We start from the raw sequence: 22771 nt of genomic DNA, 5'->3' as shown, positions 1-22771 counted from the left end.
GACTCCTTGCCCAAGAGGCTGCAGCCTTGGGAGGGTTCATGGCACCCCACGCACCTTACGTCCCCAAGAGTCACCTCTTTTGGGTATAACCTGGAGGCCCCAGGGCTGGAGGCAGAATGTCCGTGCTGAGTGGGACGACCTGGGCACCGTGAGAGTGGGGGGTGCTCCGTGGGATTGCAGGCCCCACCGTTTTTACATTTTGGATATCCTTCTGCTTGGGGTTCCAGAAAGGCTTCTACAGCTTGAATGGTGGGTTGTAAGGATATAAGTAGAAGGATGTTTTCCAAATTTTCAGATTTATGAAGGCATGGCCTTTTGCAGAAACAATCTCAGGGTCCGTTGGAGGACTGTGGCTGCATGGACTCTGGAGCGCTCTGATAAAGATGTGCCAGACGCTGCGTGGATTCTGGAGCGCTCCCGGTGTGGGGTACTGCTCGCTGCATGGATTCTAGAACGCTATGACGAGGAGATGCCACGTGCTGCGTGGATTCTGGAGCACTCCGGGTGTGGGGTGCTGCTGGCTTCATGGATTCTGGAGCGCTCCGGGTGTGGGGTGCTGCTCGCTGCACGGGTTCTAGAGCGCTCCGATTAAGGGGTGCTGCGCACTTCATGGATTCTGGAGCACTCTGACGAGGGGGTGCCGCGTGCTTCATGGATTCTGGAGCGCTCTGGATGTGGGGTGCTGCGCTCTGCATGGATTCTGGAGTGCTCCGAAGACGGGGTGCCGCGCGGCTGCATGGATGCTGGAGTGCTGCGACAAGGGGATGCCGCGCGGCCGATAAGCAGGAGTGGGGAACAGTGCGCGTCTGGTCTGTGGCGCCTGCAGCGATTCCGAGCCAGGGAAAGAGAGCTGCATGGAGTGTGGGCGGTGCCCAGCCTTTTCCCAGCAGTGGAGGGGATGGGTCATCAAATTGCTATTGGGCGCGGTGGCTCACGCCTGTAATCCCTGCACTTTGAGAGGCTGAGGTGGGCGGATCAAGAGGTCAGGAGTTCGAGACCAGCCTGGCCAATATAATGAAACCCTGTCTCTACTAAAAATACAAAAGTTAGCTGAGAATGGTGGCACGCGCCTGTAGTCCCAGCTACTCAGGCAGCTGAGGCAGAAGAATCTCTTGAACCCGGGAGGCGGAGGTTGTGGTGAGCCGAGATAACGTCATTGCACTCCAGCCTGGGCAACAGAGCGAGACCCCGTCTCAAAAACAAACAAAACAAAACAAAACAAAACAAAACAAAAACTGTTATCTGGTTGTCAACTCGAGTGACCTCATGGGGTGGGTGGGGGCGAGGTTATTGTGCTTGGCGGATGGTTTGGGGCATGGGATGGCATCTAGGGATGGAGAAACCAGGGCAGGAAGGAGGGGAGTGTGGGGGAGCGTGAGTACAGAGGCAGCTGTTGTCTTCAGTGGATCACCGTGCAAGTGGGAGGGCCGAGTCTGCATGCCAGGTCACCAGGCAGCGGCTTTTTGCACTGTCTCGTTCCTACCCACACATGCACACCTTCCTCCTCGCCTACAAGTAGGGCCCAGTAGGGCCATGTCCCAGGTGATGATCCCAGATGACATCTGGACCCAGGCCCCAGTGCTGACTCACAAGGGGTCTTGACAGCACAAGGACCTCCAGGCCGATCCCTGGAGATGTTGGCACATCATCTCACCCCTCAGCCAAGTGTCTGGGAGGAGAAGTTTCCACTGGTCATGAGGGTCAGACCTGCCACACCACTTCCTGCACAACGTGGATTCTCCTCCTGTGTGGTCTCAAATCCTAAATGCCTCTCCCGGAGGAAGGGAGAGCCATGGAGTGGCCAGGAGCCCTGCCTGGATGGCCAGGGTCTCACTTCTGCGTGCACCACCGACCAGCTCTGTGGCTTTGGCAAGTTGTGTAATATCCCTGAGCCTCGGTGTTTTTAACCTGAAAAATGGGGCCAGTTGCGGCTCTCCAGCTCTGATGACGACGGTTTGATGAGATTGCGCATGGAAAGGTAGGGTACTGTGCCACCACATGGTGCTCCATGGAGTCTGGAGCTACAGGCTTCCTTACCATCACTCTTATTTGTCTTCCTCACTGGAATCCATCCTGACACTGAAGAGAGAAGTGCTCCATTGAGAGCAAGGGCAGGTAGGGAGAAAATACGAGATGCTCTACCAGACGCGACTCCCCCAGCAGGTCTGAGAGCTGGGGCTGTTGAAAGCAAAAGGAAAGAGAAGCAGAAATCTGAAAATAATGATGCTTTATTTGATTGACATCACATCATCATAAATGGCATCTAATTTCAGAAAACAAAGTTCAAGTCCGCAAAAAATGCATGTACAAATCTAAGGAGATAGGTCTACAGAAATAGACACGTGGCTCTGTGGTCCGTAAGGTGCAGTCAGGAACCTCACATCCTAGGGTCTGTCTGGGTTCAATGTTCCAGTGGCGTGAGACAACCAAGGAAACAGACACCCCAAAGAGCCGATGTTATTTTTGAATATATATATATGTATATACATGTACATATGTAAATATGTTGCCTTCATCTGTAACAGTGCAAACCTCTCACAGCGTGCAAAGCAACAGTGTTTCCTACAGTCAAGTAACTAAATCAGTGAAAAGTTATCCACACAGCATTATAAAAACATTATATAATTACATAGCAGATATATATGCACGCCTTTGCACGCTGATTAGAGTTACTTGCATTGACTTTTGCTTTAGAAGAAATAAAAAAGGAAAATCTTTAAATAGTTCTTCATCAAATAAAAGGTAACAATTTGTAACAGATTCAACTATGAACAGGTATTGCATCAATATGTCTACAATAGAAAAACATAAATATATAAAAACAAAGGCAAAGGGGTCAGCTACACATATTAACTTACCAAACATACATGTTCTATTGAAAAACTGATCCCCATTCACACCCTCCAGGTGGGAGGATAAGACTATAAAAATGGGAAGCCAGCGTGTGGGTGTGGTGTTCTATTTTATTAGCAATTTGGATGATAGGATGTTTTGCTACTGTTTTCAGTTGGCCAATGACATAATAGTGAGATACTGATTATTAAGCTTGGGAAGCTGGTAGGTCATGGAAAAGAGACCCCAAGATGCATAATGACAGACATGTAAAAATGCAAACGTGTAAAAATGAAATCACTGCCGTGGTTACTACTATATTTTCAGACAAACCAAATTGTGGTACCATTCAGATTAGACGGCGTTCAGGGATCTCCAGGAGTCCACGGATATGGGGTTGTCAACCCTAAACCCACGTACTTCATAATTTCCTAACCTTCCCCTTCAAGGCCAGATGCATTTCAACCTGCCAGAAGGGGCACATTAGGGCCCCCTAAGAGGCACGATTGTTTGAGTAACTTCCCCAGAAACGGACATGTCTGCTGCTGCCTCAGCTGCAGCACTCTCATTGGGCAAGCTGTTTTCTAGAGGCTCATAGGCAGGTGCGGTGAGCAGTGAAGAGTCAAATTAATTCTGAGCGCCGGCACTCAGAGCTTCAGAAGCCTCCTTAAAGGGAGATTTGTCTGGGGGACTAGAGGACTGGCCCCCACACAGGTCACCAGGGAGGGTCCTGCCTCACTGCTCGGGGGCTCACCAGCCAGGCCTCAGCATCTCTGCCCCACTCACCGGCCCTCATGGTAATGGACCACATGGGTCAGAGGTGACAGCAGGTGGCTTACACATTTCCAGAGATCTGATCTCGTAACCTCAGGGACCATAAAATAAAAAACATTTCTTACTGTGTGCAGTATCAGGGCCACGTTTAAAGTCATGTGCAAAGTTTAGGCCAAAGGCACTCAAAGTGATCAGCCAGATTCTCTCGTATGTTTGTTCAGTGCAGACACACAGACGATGGTGGCGCGCTATTGAGAGAAAACAGCTGAAAGTAAAGTAATAATTTTGAGTTTTGCTACTTTTTGGTTATGTGGCTTGAGCTCATGCCTTTCCCAAGATCTCGGGGGCTAGAAGACTGTCCCCAGAACCATGAACCCCAGTGAAACAAATACATATATGCCCGTGGCTGTGTCCTCAACCTGGACCTGAAAGGCAAGTGGCCATGGGGGTGGCTTTCTGGAAAAGGGGAGGGGCTTGGGCAAGCTTAGCCCACAGCTGCAGAGAAAACCCTCAGGGCGGGCTCTGCCAGCGGGTCCAGCACGCCCTCAAAATGCAGCGCCCTCGTCCAGCCGGCAGCCCCTGCCTGTGTTTGCGAAGAATCAAGGTGCTTTTGTGCTTCTGTTCCTTTCTCTTCAGCTTTACAACGGCCATTCTACATGGAAAAGCCCCCAAACGGTGCCTCTATAAACAGTAAACCCTTGCCAGGCTGGAATGTGGTAGCCAGTGGCATGGACCGTTTTCTCCTTTTGATGCCAGGAGAGTATTTCTGAGAACAGGGAAGCCTCAGGGTCCTAACCCCAGCCTCTGCTCACATGTGTGTCATTCACATAAACCCCAGGCAAAGCAGGGTTCCTGGGTGGGCCTCAGGCACACTGGGGCAGGCCACACGTGTCTGTGTGAGGGGTGATTCCAGGTTGGCCTGTTCAGAGATAACATAAAAAAACTAGGCTAAGGCTAAACCCTTCTGTTTCCTCAAATATGGAAAAAAGAAACGGGCAGGATGTAGGATAGCTATTAGGAACTTTAGGTCAGCATAGCAGAAGGATGTGCGTGTGTGCCTGTCCCCACATTTCCTTCCTGCCCAGGACACGTGGATTTTAAGGACAGCCTGAATTGAGCTTGTAAGTGAAAATTAGACTGTGCCATGGGGGTGCAGGGTCTCTTATTTCTTCCCTGCTTCTGGTCCCAGGGAGGTTCCCCAAAAAGGTCAGCCCCACAAGTGGACATCAGAAGCCCCTGTCTTTGCAGGGGGCAATTATCTTGGAGGAACCTCCCTGACGGGACAGCCCAAGTACAGTGGCTTGGAAAGGACCGTGACTTTAACATTACTGGGACCCAGGGCGGCCGGGCCGTCCAGAAAGGCTGGGGTTACCGAGGGGGGAAGAAAACTGTGCATCGCGAGCTTGTGTGCACGCCTGGGGCAGCCTTCGATTGTGCCTGCCCGCCATAGGAGGAGTGCAGGGGCCACTGCGGGCCGATTCTGTGACCTCACCCAGCCCGGCTCTCTGCTCTGTGTCCCAGAGGTGGGAGGGAAGCTGGATTTGAAAGCCCAGTTCTAAGCCACTGGTGTCCCGGAAAGTCTTCACTCTGAGGGTCACTGCCTGGCCGGAGCTCGGGGAACCATGGGCTAATGCAGCACATAACACTGAGCAACTGCTAGGCCCTGCTCACCTCAACTTTGGGACCAAAACCTCTAGAGGGGCTGCCTTCCCCACTAGCAGCTGCCTCTACAGAGCTCAGCCTGGGAGATGGGTTTCCAGCAAAGCAGAGTAAGGAAGAAGCGACGTCGCCCTGCCAGAGCTACCGCCCCAGAGCCCCGGTTGAGGGAGCCCCTGCAAGGGTGGAGAGGACCAAAGGGAAGGTGTGGCCCAGTGCCCTCCTGCTAGCCCTGCCTCGAGCCTCCTCCAGGCACATTTCGAGGTCATGGCCAACATCACGAGGCAGGAGGACATGGGTGAGGATTCTGGGAGAACAGAAAACACAAAACTTTAAGACAATTCAACATAATACATGAACATCATCGAGAAAGGGCTCATCTACAGCCACGTCTTGGACCAGAACATGAGCGACAAATCAGTGCTCTTCCCAGAGGGACAACAAACGCATTCTAGACACAGCCTAAGAATCCATCGACTTAGGAGAATGCAAAGCCAATCACTTGAAGCATCTGACGCTGAACACAGGTAAAAAGTTTTATATAAAATATTTTATTAGAGTCTTTATTCTTTATAAGTATCTAACTTTATATTTATACGCTCTGCGCCTCCCCCGCCTGGCCAGTTGGGTTGTTTTGTCTAACGTTCATTGCGTTCTAATTCGGCTGGCATTTGACTAAGGCCTTAATGGGTTTTGACTATACTCTTCCCATCTGCACCACAGACCTGGAATGAGAGAGGTTTTTCTTTTCTTCTTGCAGTAAAGGCTGATTGAGGATTCAGAAGCTGGTATTCTATGGAGATGAGGGAAATATCATAGAATAATACTATCAAACACACGCCTGGAGCCAAGTCTGCACACCTGCATGTATGTGTGTGCATGTATGTGTGTCCATGTGCATGTGTGTGCATGTATGTGTGTGTATGTGTGTGTATGTGTGTGTCCATGTGAGTGTGTGTGCATGTGTGTGTGTGCGTGTGCTTGCATGCATGTGTGTGCATGTGTGCACATGTGCTTGTGTGTAGGTAGACACATATACACCATACACGCACACACACACACCAGCCCCTGTAGAGCCTGAGCTAGTCCACAGGACTGTTGCAATAGGAGGAGCAGGCAAGGGCAGAGGACAGCCCCTCTCCACGGAGAGGTACCTGTCACGAGTACTCTGATGCAAGGCCACTGAAGGGCGTTAGGCTTGGGTTGCCCTCTCATCTCAGCCACCTGTTTGGTAACAGAAGGAATCACTGAACGAACAGCCACTAAGCTAGTATTGCACTTTATGCCTTACAAAGCATCTCAGATACATTCATACGCCATGAACAGGAGGCAGTAAACAAAACAGGGACTTCAGCGTCCAACTGGGCTGGAATCCCAACTCCGCTCCTTCCTCGTTCTGGGGCCCTGGGGACGTCACGGAGCCTCTCCCTGCCTCCGCGTTCCACGTCTGCACCATGAGCACGGCTAAGCCAAGTGGCCACGCGGTTCCCTCCCACCACACTGGAGGGCAAGCCCACGTTGGAGTCCCCTCCCCCTCACCCCCAGGGCCTGGGACAGCACCAGGCGAGAGGGGTGGGTCAGTAAGGGTTTGAGGAGTGGGCAGGGGACAGGGGGTTCTGAGGACATCCAGCCCAGTGCCTGGAAACAGCCACGAGGAAAGGTGCTCGGTGCACCAGAGTCGTGCCTTCTCTTCCCACTGCAACAACCAAGCCCGGTTTCTGCCCCATGGGTGTGGTCTGTCCCTGATGTCAGGCTGGGGGAATGACTTTTTGTGGGTTTCTAAGATGAGTTTTCACCTCAAAGCTCCATGTACCATTTCCTGGTCCTGAAGGCGCCTCCCCCAGGTGATGTAATCCAATTCTGGCACTGACTGCATAAAACTTTGCACAGTTACTCCCCTTCCTGGGCACAGCTTCCCACTTCACCCACACAGGGAGTTTCGGAGAATTCAATCTCCAGTGGATATTCAGCCAGAGGAGAAGAAAGAGAGGCACAAAATGCTTTGGATGAGGACAAAGGCAAAAGGCCCCAGCAGTTTCCCTGAAACCTCCATTTTCACCTCTACTAACCACTGGGGCATCTGCAAATCTTTTATCCAAGGTTTAATCCTTCCTTCTAATGGAAGAAACTCAACCAGAGATGAAAGGAATATCTTGGTCAATGCATTCAGAAATTACTGAAACAAATTAGATTTGGGGAGTTGGTCTGGGTTTAACGTCCAACATGTGAAAGATAGCACATTGCCGTGTGTGTCTTAACCACAGCTGGTTAGAAAAGTAAACCAGTGAGTTGCTTGATATTATCTTAGGCCATTGGAATAAGGCATTTTACCAAACTACCTTAACACAAAAAGCAGTGGGGAAATATCTGGGAATCTAAACAATGGCATTTGAGCCAATGCTGCCAAAGGTTACGAGGAAAATGCCCAGCCAGGGACCCTTGCTGAACCTGGAAGAGGGAGGCCGGCTGCACCTAGGACAGATGCATCCTCTCCTCCCTTGGCGGTAGGCTTTCCTCCAGTCTACGGGGGAGGGCTGAGCAAAGCCATCCTGGGGCGTCAACTGCAGAATCCTCACCTACTCCAGTTCACCCTTCAAAAAATAAACCCACATGGTCTCACATATCCATTCCCTTCTTGCAGCCTAACAGCCCTCATGGTTCCCAAGCTCTTCCCCCTTAGAATTACCCCCATCAAGTTCCTACGAGAGTCATTCCATCAGAGGGCTTAGGTGCTCTCCGAAACCAGATTTAAAATCTAGAGGCATCTCACTGTTTCCTCCTGAAATTGATGAGGCACAGCAAGCGGTCTCAGCAAACGAGACCAAAGCTGCTTCTGAGGCAGGGCTGTGGGCCCCATGCAGTGCAGTTCCTGGCAGACACACCCCTATTAGGGCCATGAAGCCACAACACTAATCCACAATGGGGAAGGCTCACCTGGAGGGAATGGGCGTTTTCAACACTGACCTCACTCGATGTAGTTCTGAGTCATGAGCAAGGACTTTTGCCTTTTTCCAATTCTGCATTTCACCAGGCTATTCCTAGGTAGGTCTTCCCTATGTGCAATGTCTTACAAGAAGATCTATTTTGAAATTAAATGAGGACTTTTTATAAAGGCTAAGTTTGACTCTGGTTAAAAACTTAATCTGGAAGGCAATGCCATATTTGTATAGAACAAGCACACTTAAAATTACACTTTAATATCTATCTCAATTGTGTTTACTAAAAAAGATCTAGCAGTAAAAAAGGAATCTCTAAGAATTAGCAAACTAAATCCATGTGTAAATAAAATTCAGACCCTTTTCGTTCTTTCGAAGTGGGAAATAAGAGCTTCAGGGACATCGCCAAGGAATCCCACCACCTTTGAGCTGGCATGGCCTTGGGCATGATGTACTGTAACTATTTACAGATGAGGAAAAATGTAGCTTAGAAAGGTTCACTGATTTTCCCGCAAAAACACAGCCTTTCCATCGGAAGCCCTGATTCTAGGAGAATGATATTCTAGAGGGAGTAAACAATGGCATTTTCCTAAAGGTGGACTTCTTTGGCCAGAATCACCTTCTCTGCATGTAGTCAAACTGCTTCTGAGAGCTGACAAACTCACAGGCAGCCTTGTTGTGAATTCAAAGACCACTTGACCTCCAGATAGGCACCTGTTTCTGCCCTAGCGGGATTTGACTTATGTGATTCAGTCATAGGAAAGAAGCGGTTTCCAACGTGCAAAGTTTACACAGGCCTAACACTGAGGCGGTGATGCAGCTGTGAGGTCGCAAAACCCAGAGATGAAATCTCCCACCACTCGAAGTGCGTTGTTTGATCAAGTTTCAAATGCCTCCACATGCTGAAGTCTACTGACTTCGTCCTAAGCCCTTGGATTCTGATGCCATCTCGTTGGCCTCCTCCCCTCTTGCACAGTTAGCCCATCTTTCACTGCTGGCCACTCCTGCTGAGCCAACCCTCAAAGGTCGTGCCTGAATTTCCCTAAGCCCCATTCTTCCAGGTTCAGTGGAGGCAGCTGAGGTGATACAGGAGGAAAGGGAAGCTGTTTGTTTGTTTGTTTAAATCAACCTAGGCAAAATTAAAGGTAGTCAGAAAGTTAGGAAGAAACAAACAATATATTTCGCTTAAAATAAGAAGCACGTGGAAAAAGAAAGACTTTGAAAGAGTTGGCCAATGTCTTCTCACAATTTTTTGTATAGCTTTTAAAAATGTCTGCATGGCTCAGTGGAGATGGTGTCCACGTCTTCCCTCCACCTGGAACCTGCATTCAATCCTTCACAAGTGCTGTCTATGTATGAGACCAGCTGGGTGACTCGGTTAAACCCCTCGCCTCTCTAAACAAAGTATGTGATTTACCCTGAATCATTCTTCAGCAAGTACTAAAAAGGTATAATTTCTTAAAATGAATGCGATTGATCGACTTTTGGCTTGCAAAAATGACTTCTCATTGGAAAAGAGACACACCTTAGAAAGATGAAAATGTGAAAAACAACAGTCATAAAATGGAATCGCTCCATGCTCGGACTCTCTGCCACCAGACATCTGACTGTGCAGCCATCAGCTGAGAGGCTGCTTGCAGTTCCCCATCCAGGACCCACGGTGCCTGGTGCTAAGGAGCGACTGGACTGAGGAAGCCTCTCATCACCAGCTGTGTTGCAGCTTTAAATTCTGCCCCAGTTGTGGTATTTAAAATTCTGTATGTTAAAAAAAAAAAAACCACCAATCTGCCTACATCTTCCTAGTTAAAGCTAGAAAGGGGAATGGAGAGAAGATCCAACCCAGCTGGGCAGAGTGGCTGAGCACGAGACACCCACAAACCCAACGCGGTTCTAGGGGTTGGATCAGAAGAGTCTCTGTGTCGTCGGTCGGGCACAGGCTTGCCTCCTCGATTCTAGACGTGCCCTCGGCCACAGTGTCTAATCTTCCTGTTTCCTGGCATTCAGGTGTTTTACCTCTCTGCCCGGATTTTGTACCTGAGGACAAAATAGGCAATGAGGCGGAGGGAGATGAAGAAAATCCCGAGTACGATGAAGTCCAGGTACAGCTTGGCATTTTCCACGTCCAGCTCCCGCAGGATGGCCTCCGACTTCTGGAAGTGGCACGTCTCGTCGATGTCACAGTGCAGATCTTCCCGGTCTAAGCCATAGATGGAGAGGATGACCCCTTCGAACCCATACCTAGGAGGAAAGGCCAGGCATGAGGGAGGACGTTCTCCCAGCCAGCCACGCCGTTGGCTGAAGGTCAATGTCGTTCACCCTCCCTGCGATTCCCAGCTTGGCTATCCTCCCTTCCCAAAGGGCCGCCTTCCCCAGAATACTTCCTCACCGCCCACCACCTTCTTAAGACAAACACGTGCAACAGCTCCACTATGTTTTTCTTCCAATTTTGTTTCCTCCAGGGCCCCCAGCAAAAAAACAAGTTGAATGAGCGGTACATATTCACTGGTGAAATGCACTGAGAAGTCTTGTGTTCACTTCCGAGGTTACATGCTTTCTAACGGTTGGAGGGAATCGTGGGCCAGCCAACTTGCAAGGACTTGAGAGCATTTATATGAAACATTCCTGCCCCCTCTCTCCCTCTGCTCCAGTCCTGCCCTGTCAGAACAAAAGCACTCATTTTGAGAAGAAAGACGTCGGTTTCTGATTTCATAGTGTTGGAGCACACGCAGATTGTCGAAACTCTGTACAAGTGCTTTGTTTTCTTGAACAATATACCTAAGTCTGAACTGACATTCTAGAGAAGAAGAGCTTGTTCCCAACTTTGGATCTTAGTGTCACATGGAACTTCTGCAGCTCGGAAGATGGGCGCTGCCCCTGGTGGGGCCAGCGTGCCAACACCGCACTCCACAGAGGGCACGAAACGTTGTAGCTAAGGACCTGAGGCACTGGGCATTCTTGTTCCAAGATATTAGGATGTTTAAAAAGATGTTTAAAAATGACTTGTTTCCCACCAGATTTCTTTCCTTTTTTTTTTTTTTTTTTTTTTTTTTTTTTTTTTTTTTTTTTTTATTGAGACGGAGTCTCACTCTGTCACCTAGGCTGGAGTGCAGTGGCGCGATCTCAGCTCACTGCAACCTCTGCCTCCCAGGTTCAAGGGATCTTCCCGCCCTCCCGCCTCAGCCTCCGGAGTAGCTAGAATTACAGTCGCGCGCCACCAAGCCCACCTAATTGTTTTGTGTTTTTAGTGGAGACGGGGTTTCGCCATGTTGGCCAGGCTGGTCTCAAACTCCTGACCTCAAGTGATCTGCCTGCCTCAGCCTCCCAAAGTGCTGGGATTACAGACATGAGCCACCACGCCTGACTCCCACCAGATTTCTTATAAAGGTTTTACAATCAGCACTTGTTAGGAGCACTCGGCACTTCGGGGAGGAAGAACGTTCCTAAAAGATGGAAGCGCTTCCACCGAAGGCAGCTCTCGGCAACGTCCAGAACACTTGGTCCTGCCATGGCTCTCCGGGTGTGAAGCGCTGGTTTGTGTGGCCTCCTTGTTTAGTGTGTGTGTGTTGGTGAGGGTAGGAGGAGGTGGAACTAGCAGGAAGATGGAAGGCCTGGATCCTCAGATGTGTAATCTGCTCTTGGCCAGCAGCCCAGAGTGGCTTTTGTGAGCCCCTCACGCTGTTGGAGACGGTTCTTCCCCCGTCACCCTCGGTCCCCACGCCATGCGTGCCCCACGCCCGCTACCTGACATAGGAGATGTAGGACATCCACTGTAGGTACGTGGGGATGGTGTCGAAGCTGACGAAGAACCCCGAGAACAGGAGCACCGGGATGGCTGTCACTGGGCCCACGAAAGTGGCCACCTGGAGTTGGGGGCACACAGGACAGATGTAGCAGAACCTGCAGCCTGGCCTCCTGCAGAGGAGGCTCGCCCACGCCAGCTTCCCCCGGGCAGGGCCAGGGCACCTTCTGGGCAGGGTAATGATGATGCTTAATGTGGCAGAAGGTGCAGCGTTCCCGAGGTGTGGGGTCACCATCTCTGAGGACCCCCCGGCTGCCCTGCTGTGACGTGGCAGCCCCAGAGCCTCCTGCAGCCCAGGATGAGCTGGGACCCAGTGGATGTCCCCAGGCCAGAGAGGTGGGGACACACCCTCCTCAACAGACTGCCGTCTGCTCCTCCACAGCTGTCCCCGGGGGGGCTAAGTGCCTGGCCTGTGGCAGGTGTGTGGCGGGCACCCCTTCGGTCGGGGCACAGTGGAAGGACTGCAGCCTTCACAGGCGGGATGGACGCCTGCCTGTCAGCACCTCCGGGAGGGCAGCCCAGAGACCGAAGCAACCGCCGCGACTCAGGGTTCACAGTGAGCACAGGTCCAACAGGGGCACTGTGAGTGTGTCGGGGGTAGGAGGGTGTGTGGAGTGTGTGTGTGGAGTGTGTGTGTGGAGTGTGTGTGTGGTGTGGGCGGTGTCTGCTGTGTGGTGTGTGTGGTGTCTGCGGTGTGTGGTGTGTGGTGTGGAGTGTGTGGTGTGTGGTGTGGTGTGTAGTGTGTGATGTTTCTAGTGTGTAGTCTGTGTGCGCAGTGAGTGGTGTGTGTGCATAGCATGTAGTGTGTAGTGTGTGTTTGTGTGTAGGGTGTGGTATGTGGTATGTACTGTGTGGTGTGTGTATGTAGTATTTGTGTGTAGTGTGTAGTGTGGTGTATGTGTAGTGTGTGGTGTGTAGTGTGTAGTGTGGTGCGTGTGTAGTGTGTGGTGTGTAGTGTGTGTGGTGTGTGTGTGGTGTGTAGTGTGTAGTGTGGTGTGTACTGTGTAGTGTGGTATGTGTGTAGTGTGTGGTGTGTAGTGTGTAGTGTGGTATGTGTGTAGTGCGTGGTGTGTAGTATGTGTGGTGGGTAGTGTGTAGTGTGATGTGTGTGTAGTGTGTGGTGTGGTGTGTACTGTGTAGTGTGGTGTGTGTGTAGTGTGTGGTGTGTAGTGTGTAGTGTGGTATGTGTGTAGTGCGTGGTGTGTAGTATGTGTGGTGTGTAGTGTGTAGTGTGGTGTGTGTGTAGTGTGTGGTGGGTAGTGTGTAGTGTGGTGTGTAGTGTGTACTGTGTGGTGTGTAGTGTGTGTGGTGTGTACTGTGTAGTGTGGTATGTGTGTAGTGTATGGTGTGTAGTGTGGTGTGTGTGTGGTGTGTAGTGTGTAGTGTGTGTATGCAGTGTGTGGTGTGTAGTGTGTAGTGTGGTGTGTGTGTAGTGTGTGGTGTGTACCGTGTGTGGTGTGTAGTGTGTAGTGTGTGGTGTGTGTAGTGTGTGGTGTGTACCGTGTGTGGTGTGTAGTGTGTGTGGTGTGTGTGTAGTGTGGTATGTGTGTAGTGTGTGTGGTGTGTAGTGTGTAGTGTGGTGTGTGTGTAGTGTGTGGTGTGTACTGTGTAGTGTGGTGTGTGTGTAGTGTGTGGTGTGTAGTGTGTAGTGTCGTATGTGTTTAGTGTGTGGTGTGTAGTATGTGTGGTGTGTAGTGTGTAGTGTGGTGTGTGTGTAGTGTGTGGTGGGTAGTGTGTAGTGTGGTGTGCAGTGTGTACTGTGTGGTGTGTAGTGTGTGTGGTGTGTACTGTGTAGTGTGGTATGTGTATAGTGTATGGTGTGTAGTGTGGTGTGTGTGTGGTGTGTAGTGTGTAGTGTGGTGTGTATGCAGTGTGTGGTGTGTAGTGTGTAGTGTGGTGTGTAGTGTGTGGTGTGCACCGTGTGTGGTGTGTAGTGTGTGTGGTGTGTAGTGTGGTGTGTGTGTAGTGTGGTATGTGTGTAGTGTGTGGTGTGTAGTGTGTAGTGTGGTCTGTGTGTAGTGTGTGTGTGCATGTGTGCCGTGTGCAACCGTGCAGACAGGGGCATCCCAGCCCTGGTCTGATTAGTGACCCCTGCGGAGCCTGAGTGCCCTAGGCAGGGGTCCTGGGGGTGGCTGAGCAGGTGCACTGGGGCTGGCCTTGGGGCACACGGGTTGCAGCACCTGGCATGGGCCTGGCACCTTCCTGCAGTGTCATCTTTGGTCCCATGGCAGCCTTGTGAGATGGGCTCCATGGCAGTCCTCATCTAAGGTGAGGGCACCTGGGCCCTGGAGGCCAGGGAGCTTGCTTATGGTGGACTGGAGGTGACTCAGGAATACACTGCACCCAGCATGGGACCCTGGGGCCCTCGGGTGTTCCCAATCCACCCAGGAACACTGCTTTTGTCCAGAAGGACAGGCTGAGGCCGAGCGTCCTAAAGCCACAGAGGTAGAGAACCTGCAGGTGCATGTGGGCGGCAGGTCGGGGGGCAGGGTGGGCGATGGGAGGAGGAAGGGGCCCATGGAGAGGCCGAGGGAACCCCACAGAGGCAGTGATGCATAGGTGTTGGGAGCTTGGCTCCCGAGTCAGCTGTGTGACCCCCTGACAAATCACTTTGCCTCTCTGGGCCTCAGTGCTCCCCTATGTAAAATGGGGCCAGCACAGCACCTAAGCGTGGCTGTGCTTGGGGCTACAGGAGCTCAGATCTGGGAAGCGCTGGGAAGAGCGCCCAGCACGCAGTCAGCACACGTGAGGCTGCCCGCTGTGCGCACTGTGGAAGCCAGCTGATCCTGACCCTCGACAATGCGGGCCCTTCCCGTGGGAACGACCCCATCTAGGAGGGTCAGGGCAGAAGTAGGGGAAGGGGTGGCAGAGCCCCCTAGCTCAGGCCAAGGTAGCTCAGGGAAGCCCAGCCGTCATGCCCTCACTTAGCGCCTCCTGGGCTGGCACCTGCAGGGACGTGGAGGCGGCTCCGATCAGCAGGCCCAGGGACTGTGCCACCAGGGAGGTCATGGTGCCCAGCGCGGCAAACAGCACAAAGCGCACGGCGTCGGACGGCTGCGACGTCATCCAGTACACGATGCTGCAGTAGGCCACTGGGAACATGATCTGGAAACAAGGACCCGTCAGCCGCGGGCTCAGCCGCTTCCCACCACAGCAGGCCAACAGCAAAGCTCCTGGGCAGCCAGCCCTTCCCCGCAGCTCCCGCCAGAGCTCCCAAAGTCGGGTCCTTCCCCACTCCCCACAGCTCCCGCCACAGCTCCCGAAGTCAGGCCCTTCCCCGCAGCTCCCACCAGAGCTCCCGAAGTCGGGCCATGTCACCCTGCATCCCTGGCAGGTCCTCTTACTCGATATAAAGGGTGTACAGGAGAACTCTTGCCCCCGTTTCAAATTCCAGCCCCTGGCTAACACACCTGAAAGGGCACGTCTGCCATGGTCTTGGCCAGGTAGTAGGCCTTCAGGCTGTACCAGTAGTTCAGGTGTTCCCGAAGAAAGACTCCCATCTCCAGGGGAACTAGGAGATAGAAAAGCAAAAAAGAAGGGTCAGTGACCATGTGCAGCGAGCCCGTTTAACATCCCAACAGGCGATCTTGAGCTGAGCGGCTGGTAACCCAGCTCTGGCCTAGGGCACTGAGAGATTGAACAAACAGAGGATGTGTTTTGCTAGCCTGAAAAACGCCACCCGTTTGCATAACCTGAAGAGTCATTGAGTGGAGAATCAGGATGGGGAGCATGTCTGTGAATACAAAGCATCATCTTAGTGATGAAGGCAAGGATTCATGCCTGGCCTTACTCTTCCTGAGTCTGCCTCTTCTGAAACTCTGCATCAACGTGGTGCCTTCCTGTGAGCAAGGCTGCAAGCTGCTCTTGGAAATCAGGGGAAGCTTGGGGAGGAGGTACCTAGGGAGGAGCTATTTATGCTAAAGTTCTGGAGAAGCAGCCGCTGTGTTCACTGTCAGCCAAAGTGACCAAGGGCAGTCTCCTTGTGAACAAACTGGAATTGTGTGGATATCCATCTAAGAGAGCTTATCTGCTCCCGAAGTGGGCTGTGCAGAGCTATCTTAACAATTGAACTAGGTAATGCTTAAGTAGTAGAGTTGGGGGGCTCCTAATTAGTGAATCTTTGAGAAATCTCCCTCCCATCAGCCTTCCATCATGCTTAAAAGTCTTCCATTTGGGATTCATTCCTTTGGCTTAAGTATTGTATTTTCTTATCTAACAGCAAATACAATACAACTTGCATCTGTCAACAAAGAAGATGATATTTTAAAAAAACAAAAACATTGTGTTTAGAAAACTCATCTGTTGGTCAAGGCGTGACTTCAGGCCCCCATGCTTGGGTAGGAATTGAAAATAAGGAAGAAGGGGTCAGCGGTCTGTCACTCACATGTCAGAACAGTAGGCATGAGGGCCGCGAACATGAGGAACAGCATGGAGAAGAAGAGGAAGCCGGAGTTGCTCAAGACCTTCTTGGCTTCGTTCCCGATCCCCAAGTACAGCAGGCCAATGAGGAGGCCGATCCCAATGTGCGAGGTGATGCGCAGGTGTGTCAGGACCTGGGGACAGACCCGCATCTTACCCAGTGCGTTCGCAAAGCCGTCCTCGGCTCAGAGAACAACCCGGATGCGGCCTTTGGAAGCATGGGACCCTGAACTCTGTGACAGCACGTCTTAGACTTTATCCTGTCTTCTCCTCCAGAGAAACAAGCCAAACCCTAAAGCGACTCACATACACACACACACTCACACACACACATACACGCCTGCTCACACACATATATGCACACATGTCAGGCTTTTGTTGTGTTAAAACCAACATAATTACTATCCTTTGTAAAAGATTTAAAAATGGAGAACAAAGGAAGTCTACCCTCAGAAGAGAGGAAAGGTAAAAACAATGGTGAGGGAAAAGTGGCTATATCAGAGGCTCTAAGAACTCTGCTGTGGACGGCGGTGAGCCCCTCTGTCTTTCAAATTAGGTCCCAGAAGCCATGCCAGGCATTCAGCCGCTCCTAAGTAGGTGGCCAGATTGTCAACTTCTCTGGTAGAATTATGGTTCCCGCGTATTCACCACCTCCTTCCCTATAAGGAATTGTCCAACCCCCCGTCCCAATCCTCATGATTCACAGTGCTTTCCTGAAGGAGAAATGGACTCGCCTACAGCCCTGGTTTCAGGCTCGGCCATGTGACTTGTTTAGGCCAATGGCATGTGAGTGCAAGTGATGATTTGCCACTTCCAACTGGAAGTTTTAAGGGCTGTCATTTGGTTTCTCTCTTGCACTTTTCCTTTGACATGGTGAAGAAAGGCATGTCCAGATAGGAGCTGTCCCGGGATGAGAAGACTTATGGGACAGAGCCATGATACAACCCACCGTTGCCACCCCTAACACAAGCAGGACACAAATATTGATGGAGGGAGACACGTACATTATGGGAGTGTTTGTTACTGCAGCATTACAGTGAACGCTGACTATTGCAAATAGAAGAAAAGTAATTTGAAAGTTTAGTGATATGGTTTGGGTCTGTGTCCCCGCCCAAATCTCATGTCAAATTGTAATCCCCAATGTTGGAGATGGGGCCTGATTGGATCATGGGGGTGGACTTCTCCTTTGGGTCTGTGCTCATGACAATGGGTGAGTTATTGTGAGATCTGAATGTTTAAAAGTGTGTAGCGCTCCATCCCACTTTGCCTTCCACCATGATTGAAAGTTTCCTGAGGGCTCCCCGGCCATGCTTCTTACACAGCCTGCAGAACAATGAGCCAATTAAACCTCTTTTCTTTATAAATTCCCCAGGCTCAGGCATTTCTTTCTTTCTTTCTTTTTTCCTTTCCTTTCCTTCCCTTCCCTTCCTTTCTCCCTTTCCCTTTCCCTTCCTTTCTTTCCTTTCTTTCTTTTTCAGATGGGAGTCTCTCTCTGTCACCCAGGCTGGAGTGCAGTGGTGCAATCTCGGCTCACTGCAATCTCCGCCCCCCTGGGTTCAAGCAGTTCTCCTGCCCCAGCCTCCTGAGTAGCTGGGATTACAGGCATGCACTACCAGGCCTGGCTAATTTTTGTATTTTTAGCAGAGATGGGGTTTCCCCACGTTGGCCAGGCTGGTCTGAACTCCTGGCCTCAAATGATCTGCCTGCCTTGGCCTCCCAAAGTGCTGGGGTTACAGACATGAGTCACCATGCCTGGCCTCATGAATTTCTTTATAGCAATGTGAGAATGAACGAACACATTCCGTCAGGACGAGTCTGAGAAAATGACCCACGGGTTCCCCAGCTACAGGAGAAGATGCGGGCAGCCTTACCGAGTCCCTCATGATGCTGAGGAAGGTCCTCTTGAAGAGGATGCAGAACTGCGTGAGGCAGCTGGCAGAGAAGCTGTGGCAGCCTTCCATGGACGAGGAGTCCTGAGGACACACGCAAGAGGGGAGCGGGTGAAAGCCAGTCCGGAGCCACGGCTCCTTCTTGCTCGGAAAGAGCTCTCATGCAGCAGTGCACGGTGCCACGTGCAGCCTCCCCCAGGGGGCTTCGGGATTTGCATTACCTTTCTCAACCCCTTTAATCGTTTTGTCTGCTTTACCTCTTCAGAGGGCCGGTGCCAAAGAAAAGGGTTCACCTCGGCATCACCCCCGAGGTCTCTCTTGTGGTCTGAGTCACACATGCCCTCCCGAACCGCTCTCACCAGCCGACTGTTCTGATCACCGTACTCGCCGGATGCAACCTCCATGACTGCAGGAGACACAGACGGGGGTCAGCCCGGGCTCCAGGAAGGACACCCCAACCACCCAAATGCGAAAGTCGTTATTCAAGTGGGAATGTTTTAAAGCGATTACATAGATGCTGCGTGGCGGTGCTAATGGCATGACGTCAAAATCATTTATCAACCAGCGTGCGGCTCTCAAACCCCCCAGCAAGGCCCTTTATCATGTCAGGAGACGGGAAACGCAAACACACACTGTGCTGTCAGTGGTCTGAGAAGTAATGAGCTCCTGCATCTACCGACTGCTCATCCAGCCGGTACTTACTGAATGCCTGCTCTGGGCCAGCCTCCAAGGTGGAGCTGGGAAGGGAGCAGAACGAAGGACTCCTCCCTGAGGGACTCCTCCTTGAGGAGCTTGTGGTTTGGCAGGGTGTGACGAGAGCCACGGCAGTTCTACAAGATGGCAGAGAAGGACGTGCCCATCGCCACATGAGTGGCTGGCACCCTGGGGACTTGGAGGTCCTGGGACCCTCAACCTGCACCTCTCAGATCCCAGTGAGCGTCTCCTGCACCGGCCCTGCCCGCTGCTCCTGCCTCTCGCATCCCAATCGTCACCTCCCCACTCCACCTGCAGACTCGCTCCCCTAAGGTCTCCCTCCACCTGGACTTCCTCTGCAGCCTGCAACTCCTTCCACACTCCCGTGGTGACTGGCCTCCTTCCCTCTGCCTACATCTGCTTTCTCCCAACCCCTCTGCCCTCTCCTGCCTCTGTGTCCTCCCTGTGCGATGCCTTGCCTCCCACTCCAGTAACGTTCTTGCTAAGGCCCAAAGCTCCCCAACACCCTTACCTTTTCCGCACTTCCCTCTGGCAGAGCCAGCTACCCGCTTCCTCCCAGCTGGTACGGAGGCCACCACACCTCCTAGATGAAGCCACAAACCAGGACACATTGGCCCCACCGGAAAGTCATCCTCAAGGGCTCCAAACGAGCCTACAGCACTGCCAGGCAATGTTTCCAGGCCCCTCTGGTCACCCACACCCTCAACAGTGGGCCACACTCCCCTCACCTCCCGCTCTCTGGTCAGACGACATTGAGGAAATGAAATCCCCAGAAGGGAATGCCCTCATCTCTCCAGGACCTCTCTGCATCCCCACGCACCGTGTTTCCTCTCCTTCCTGCCCGCCCTTCCCTCCAGGTTCTCACCTCCATGCAGGCTTCAGACCTCACCTCCCCTGCCCCACTCAGCAGCATCCGTTAGTGACCCGTTACTGATCTGTTACTCTTCCTTGTGAGCGAGCACGAAACCAGAACCACAACCCTCCTGGGGCTCCCGTCCCACCTTAAACCACACTCCCTGCAACCCTCGCCCTGTCTCCTCTCCATCACAGCCTACTCCTTGTGAGTGAGAGGCACGTCCGTGAACAATGTCTCATGGAACACAATTTGGGAAATAGTGTGGTAGAAAATACGGAGTCCTGGGAATTGCATGAATCAAATATTTTAAAGAAAAACGACAGATTAAGACTGATGGCTGGAAGGCGAAGGAGGAGGGAAGTCCACCTGGACTGTCACTATGCACCCTTATTTGAAAAAGCATCTTTGCAGAGGTAATTAGGATCTTGAGATGAATCATCCTGGACTTAGGGTGGGCCCTGAATCCAATGACTGCTGTCCTCAGGAGAGGAGGTGATTAGGACATGGAGACAGGAGAGAGGCAGAGACAGGCTGGCCAGATGATTTTACCTAGAGTCTAGAGGAAATGAAACCTAATTTTTTTGTTCTTTAAACGTTTTATAACTGGATGACACTTGAGCTATTTGTGGTAGTCAAGTGGTTTCTGAGTTGGGGGCGTCAGCTAAAAGTGAGACCCACAGAGGAGGAAAATCCCCTTTCTGTCCCCCGAGCTGCTCAGGACTCCGCTTACCAAAATCTGCTGGGTTGTGGTAGGTTGGGCAGTTCAGACCCAAATCCCTCAAATATGGCACAAGATTGCAGACTTTTCCCCGGTACACACATTGTCCTTGACTCAGGACGTAAAGCTGGAAAAAAGGAAGGAGAAAAAGGGATCAAGCCCTGCCTTCCTCGGAAGGCAACCGGAGCCCTCAATCAATCAATCAACCAATCAATCAACCGATCAATCAGTCAGCCCAGCGATCAGCCACTTCCTCTCCTGAGAGCTTTACATCACCCCCAAGGGCCCTATTAACATCTGAAGGGAAAGCCACGATAAGCCAGGGAAGAATATCGCACGGCCAGGATGATTTGACTATATTGCTTGCTGTTTATTTTTCATGCTAACCCCCTGCTCAGAAAAAATTTTGGAGCTATACACATTTTATCCCTTTGTGACTATTTTTGCTTAGACTAATATCAAAACCTAAGTTTTTTTGTTTGTTCATCTTTTTTTTTTTTTGATACAGGGTCTTGCTCTGTTGCCCAGGCTGGAGTGCAGTGGCACGATCTTGGCTCAGTGCAGCCTCCACCTCCTGGGCTCAGGTGATCCTCCCACATCAGCCTCCCCAGTAGCTGGGACTATAGGAGTGTGCCACCACACCGGGATAATTTTTGTATTTTTTTTTCTTTTGTAGAGACAGGGTTTTACCATGTTGCTCAGGTTGTTCTTCAACTCCTGAGCTTAAGTGATCTGCCCACCTCAGCCTCCCAAAGTGCTGGGATTACAGGGGACAGCCACTGTGCCTGGCCAAAACCTAAGATTTATAAACCAAATGATACTGTGCAAATGCTGTAACCTGTTATTAATTCTGGAAAACAAGTGTCCCCCCTCCCCCCATTTTAACAGGGGAGGTGATGAAGTTCTACAATGCTGGTGACACCCAGGATCCCATGACCGACCACCAGGACAGAGAGAGGACTCTGCTCACCAGCTTCCACTCCCCAGCCCCCTTCGCTGCCTGTGGTTCCACAAGTCTCACAAAACCTGGCACTTAAACGCTCTCAAAAATGAAGACACCCCACGAGCTAACAGAAGGCCATGGGTACCCAGGGTTTGATGTCATGAAGACATCCCACGAGGTAACAGAAGGCTGTGGGTACCCAGGGTTTGGTGTCATGAAGATGCCCCATGAGCTAACAGAAGGCTGTGGGTACCCAGGGTTTGGTGTCATGAAGACGCCCCACGAGCTAACAGAAGGCAGTGGGTACCCAGGGTTTGGTGTCATTCAGGCTGACCTGAGTGCAGTGGTAATCTGGCGGGGAGGGCCCGGGGCCCGCGTACCTGGTCGAACAGCTCGAAGAGTTTGGCGCTGGGCTGGTGGATGGTGCAAATGATGGAGCGACCCCCTTGAGCGAGCCCTTTCATCAGCGAGACCACCTGGAAGCAGGAGGCGCTGTCCAGGCCGCTGCAAGTCAAGAGGCACCGTGAGACGCCTGCGGGCGGCAGGAACTAGCCACTGCCCCAGGTTCCGGGGGTCCAGGGAGTTCCTGTCCCAGAGGGCTTGGCATCAGGGGCTGCAGCTGCAGCTGCCCCGTCCCAGGCCGGGCTCTGCTCTTGCTGTTTGTTTTGCTGCTCAGTGGCAGGGCACACAGCAGGGCTTTGCATGTTGCATTTTATTCCTGGTAAGAACGGAGGGACCCCAGCGAGCCTTGCTGCCAGAGTCCAGGACTGGGGGGGGGTCCCCACTCATCTGGGCAGGGAGGGACTTCACAACTATCCAGGCGGGACAGAGGTGGGGGGGTCCCCACTCATCTGGGCGGGGGGACTTTGCAACTGTCCAGGCGGGACAGAGGTGGGGGGGTCCCCACTCATCTGGGCGGGGGGGACTTCGCAACTGTCCAGGCGGGACAGAGGTGGGGGGGTCCCCACTCATCTGGGCGGGGGGACTTTGCAACTGTCCAGGCGGGACAGAGGTGGGGGGGTCCCCACTCATCTGGGCGGGGGGGACTTCGCAACTGTCCAGGCGGGACAGAGGTGGGGGGGTCCCCACTCATCTGGGCGGGGGGGACTTCGCAACTGTCCAGGCGGGACAGAGGTGGGGGGGTCCCCACTCATCTGGGCGGGGGGACTTTGCAACTGTCCAGGCGGGACAGAGGTGGGGGGGTCCCCACTCATCTGGGCGGGGGGACTTTGCAA

General features: G+C 52.1%; 1 protein-coding gene across 12 annotated transcripts in view, besides 2 other annotated features; it reads right to left on the bottom strand.

Annotated features, from left to right (window-relative positions):
• Positions 9356-22771, bottom strand: part of ABCG1 (ATP binding cassette subfamily G member 1) — a 97556-nt gene continuing 84140 nt past the window's right edge. For 5 of the 12 annotated variants that reach the window (NM_207627.2, NM_207628.1, NM_207629.2 and 2 more), the window contains 9 exons: positions 21917-22040; positions 20606-20720; positions 18563-18711; positions 18288-18389; positions 16382-16550; positions 15408-15508; positions 14944-15102; positions 11940-12058; positions 9356-10436 (listed from right to left, as the gene is read on the bottom strand). In NM_207627.2, coding sequence (NP_997510.1) covers positions 10208-10436; positions 11940-12058; positions 14944-15102; positions 15408-15508; positions 16382-16550; positions 18288-18389; positions 18563-18711; positions 20606-20720; positions 21917-22040 — 1267 coding nt within the window. In that variant the 3' untranslated portion in view covers positions 9356-10207. Of the gene's footprint in view, positions 10437-11939; positions 12059-14921; positions 15103-15407; positions 15509-16381; positions 16551-18287; positions 18390-18526; positions 18712-20605; positions 20721-21916; positions 22041-22771 lie in introns of all 12 variants that reach the window. The other 7 variants (NM_004915.4, XM_011529806.2, XM_024452141.2 and 4 more) reach the window with 3 other exon arrangements.
• Positions 19931-19980: a silencer, noted in NCBI's record as "silent region_13341". NCBI's record gives its function as "represses an Ori minimal core promoter by ATAC-STARR-seq in GM12878 lymphoblastoid cells {active_cell/tissue: GM12878}" and the evidence as "EXISTENCE:reporter gene assay evidence [ECO:0000049][PMID:35858748]".
• Positions 20311-20360: an enhancer, noted in NCBI's record as "active region_18510". NCBI's record gives its function as "activates an Ori minimal core promoter by ATAC-STARR-seq in GM12878 lymphoblastoid cells {active_cell/tissue: GM12878}" and the evidence as "EXISTENCE:reporter gene assay evidence [ECO:0000049][PMID:35858748]".

Source organism: Homo sapiens, chromosome 21 (assembly GCF_000001405.40).
Source record: "Homo sapiens chromosome 21, GRCh38.p14 Primary Assembly".
Lineage (NCBI taxonomy): Eukaryota > Metazoa > Chordata > Mammalia > Primates > Hominidae > Homo > Homo sapiens.
Note: the sequence above shows the minus strand (reverse complement) of the source record. Positions and strands in the feature narration are given on the sequence as shown.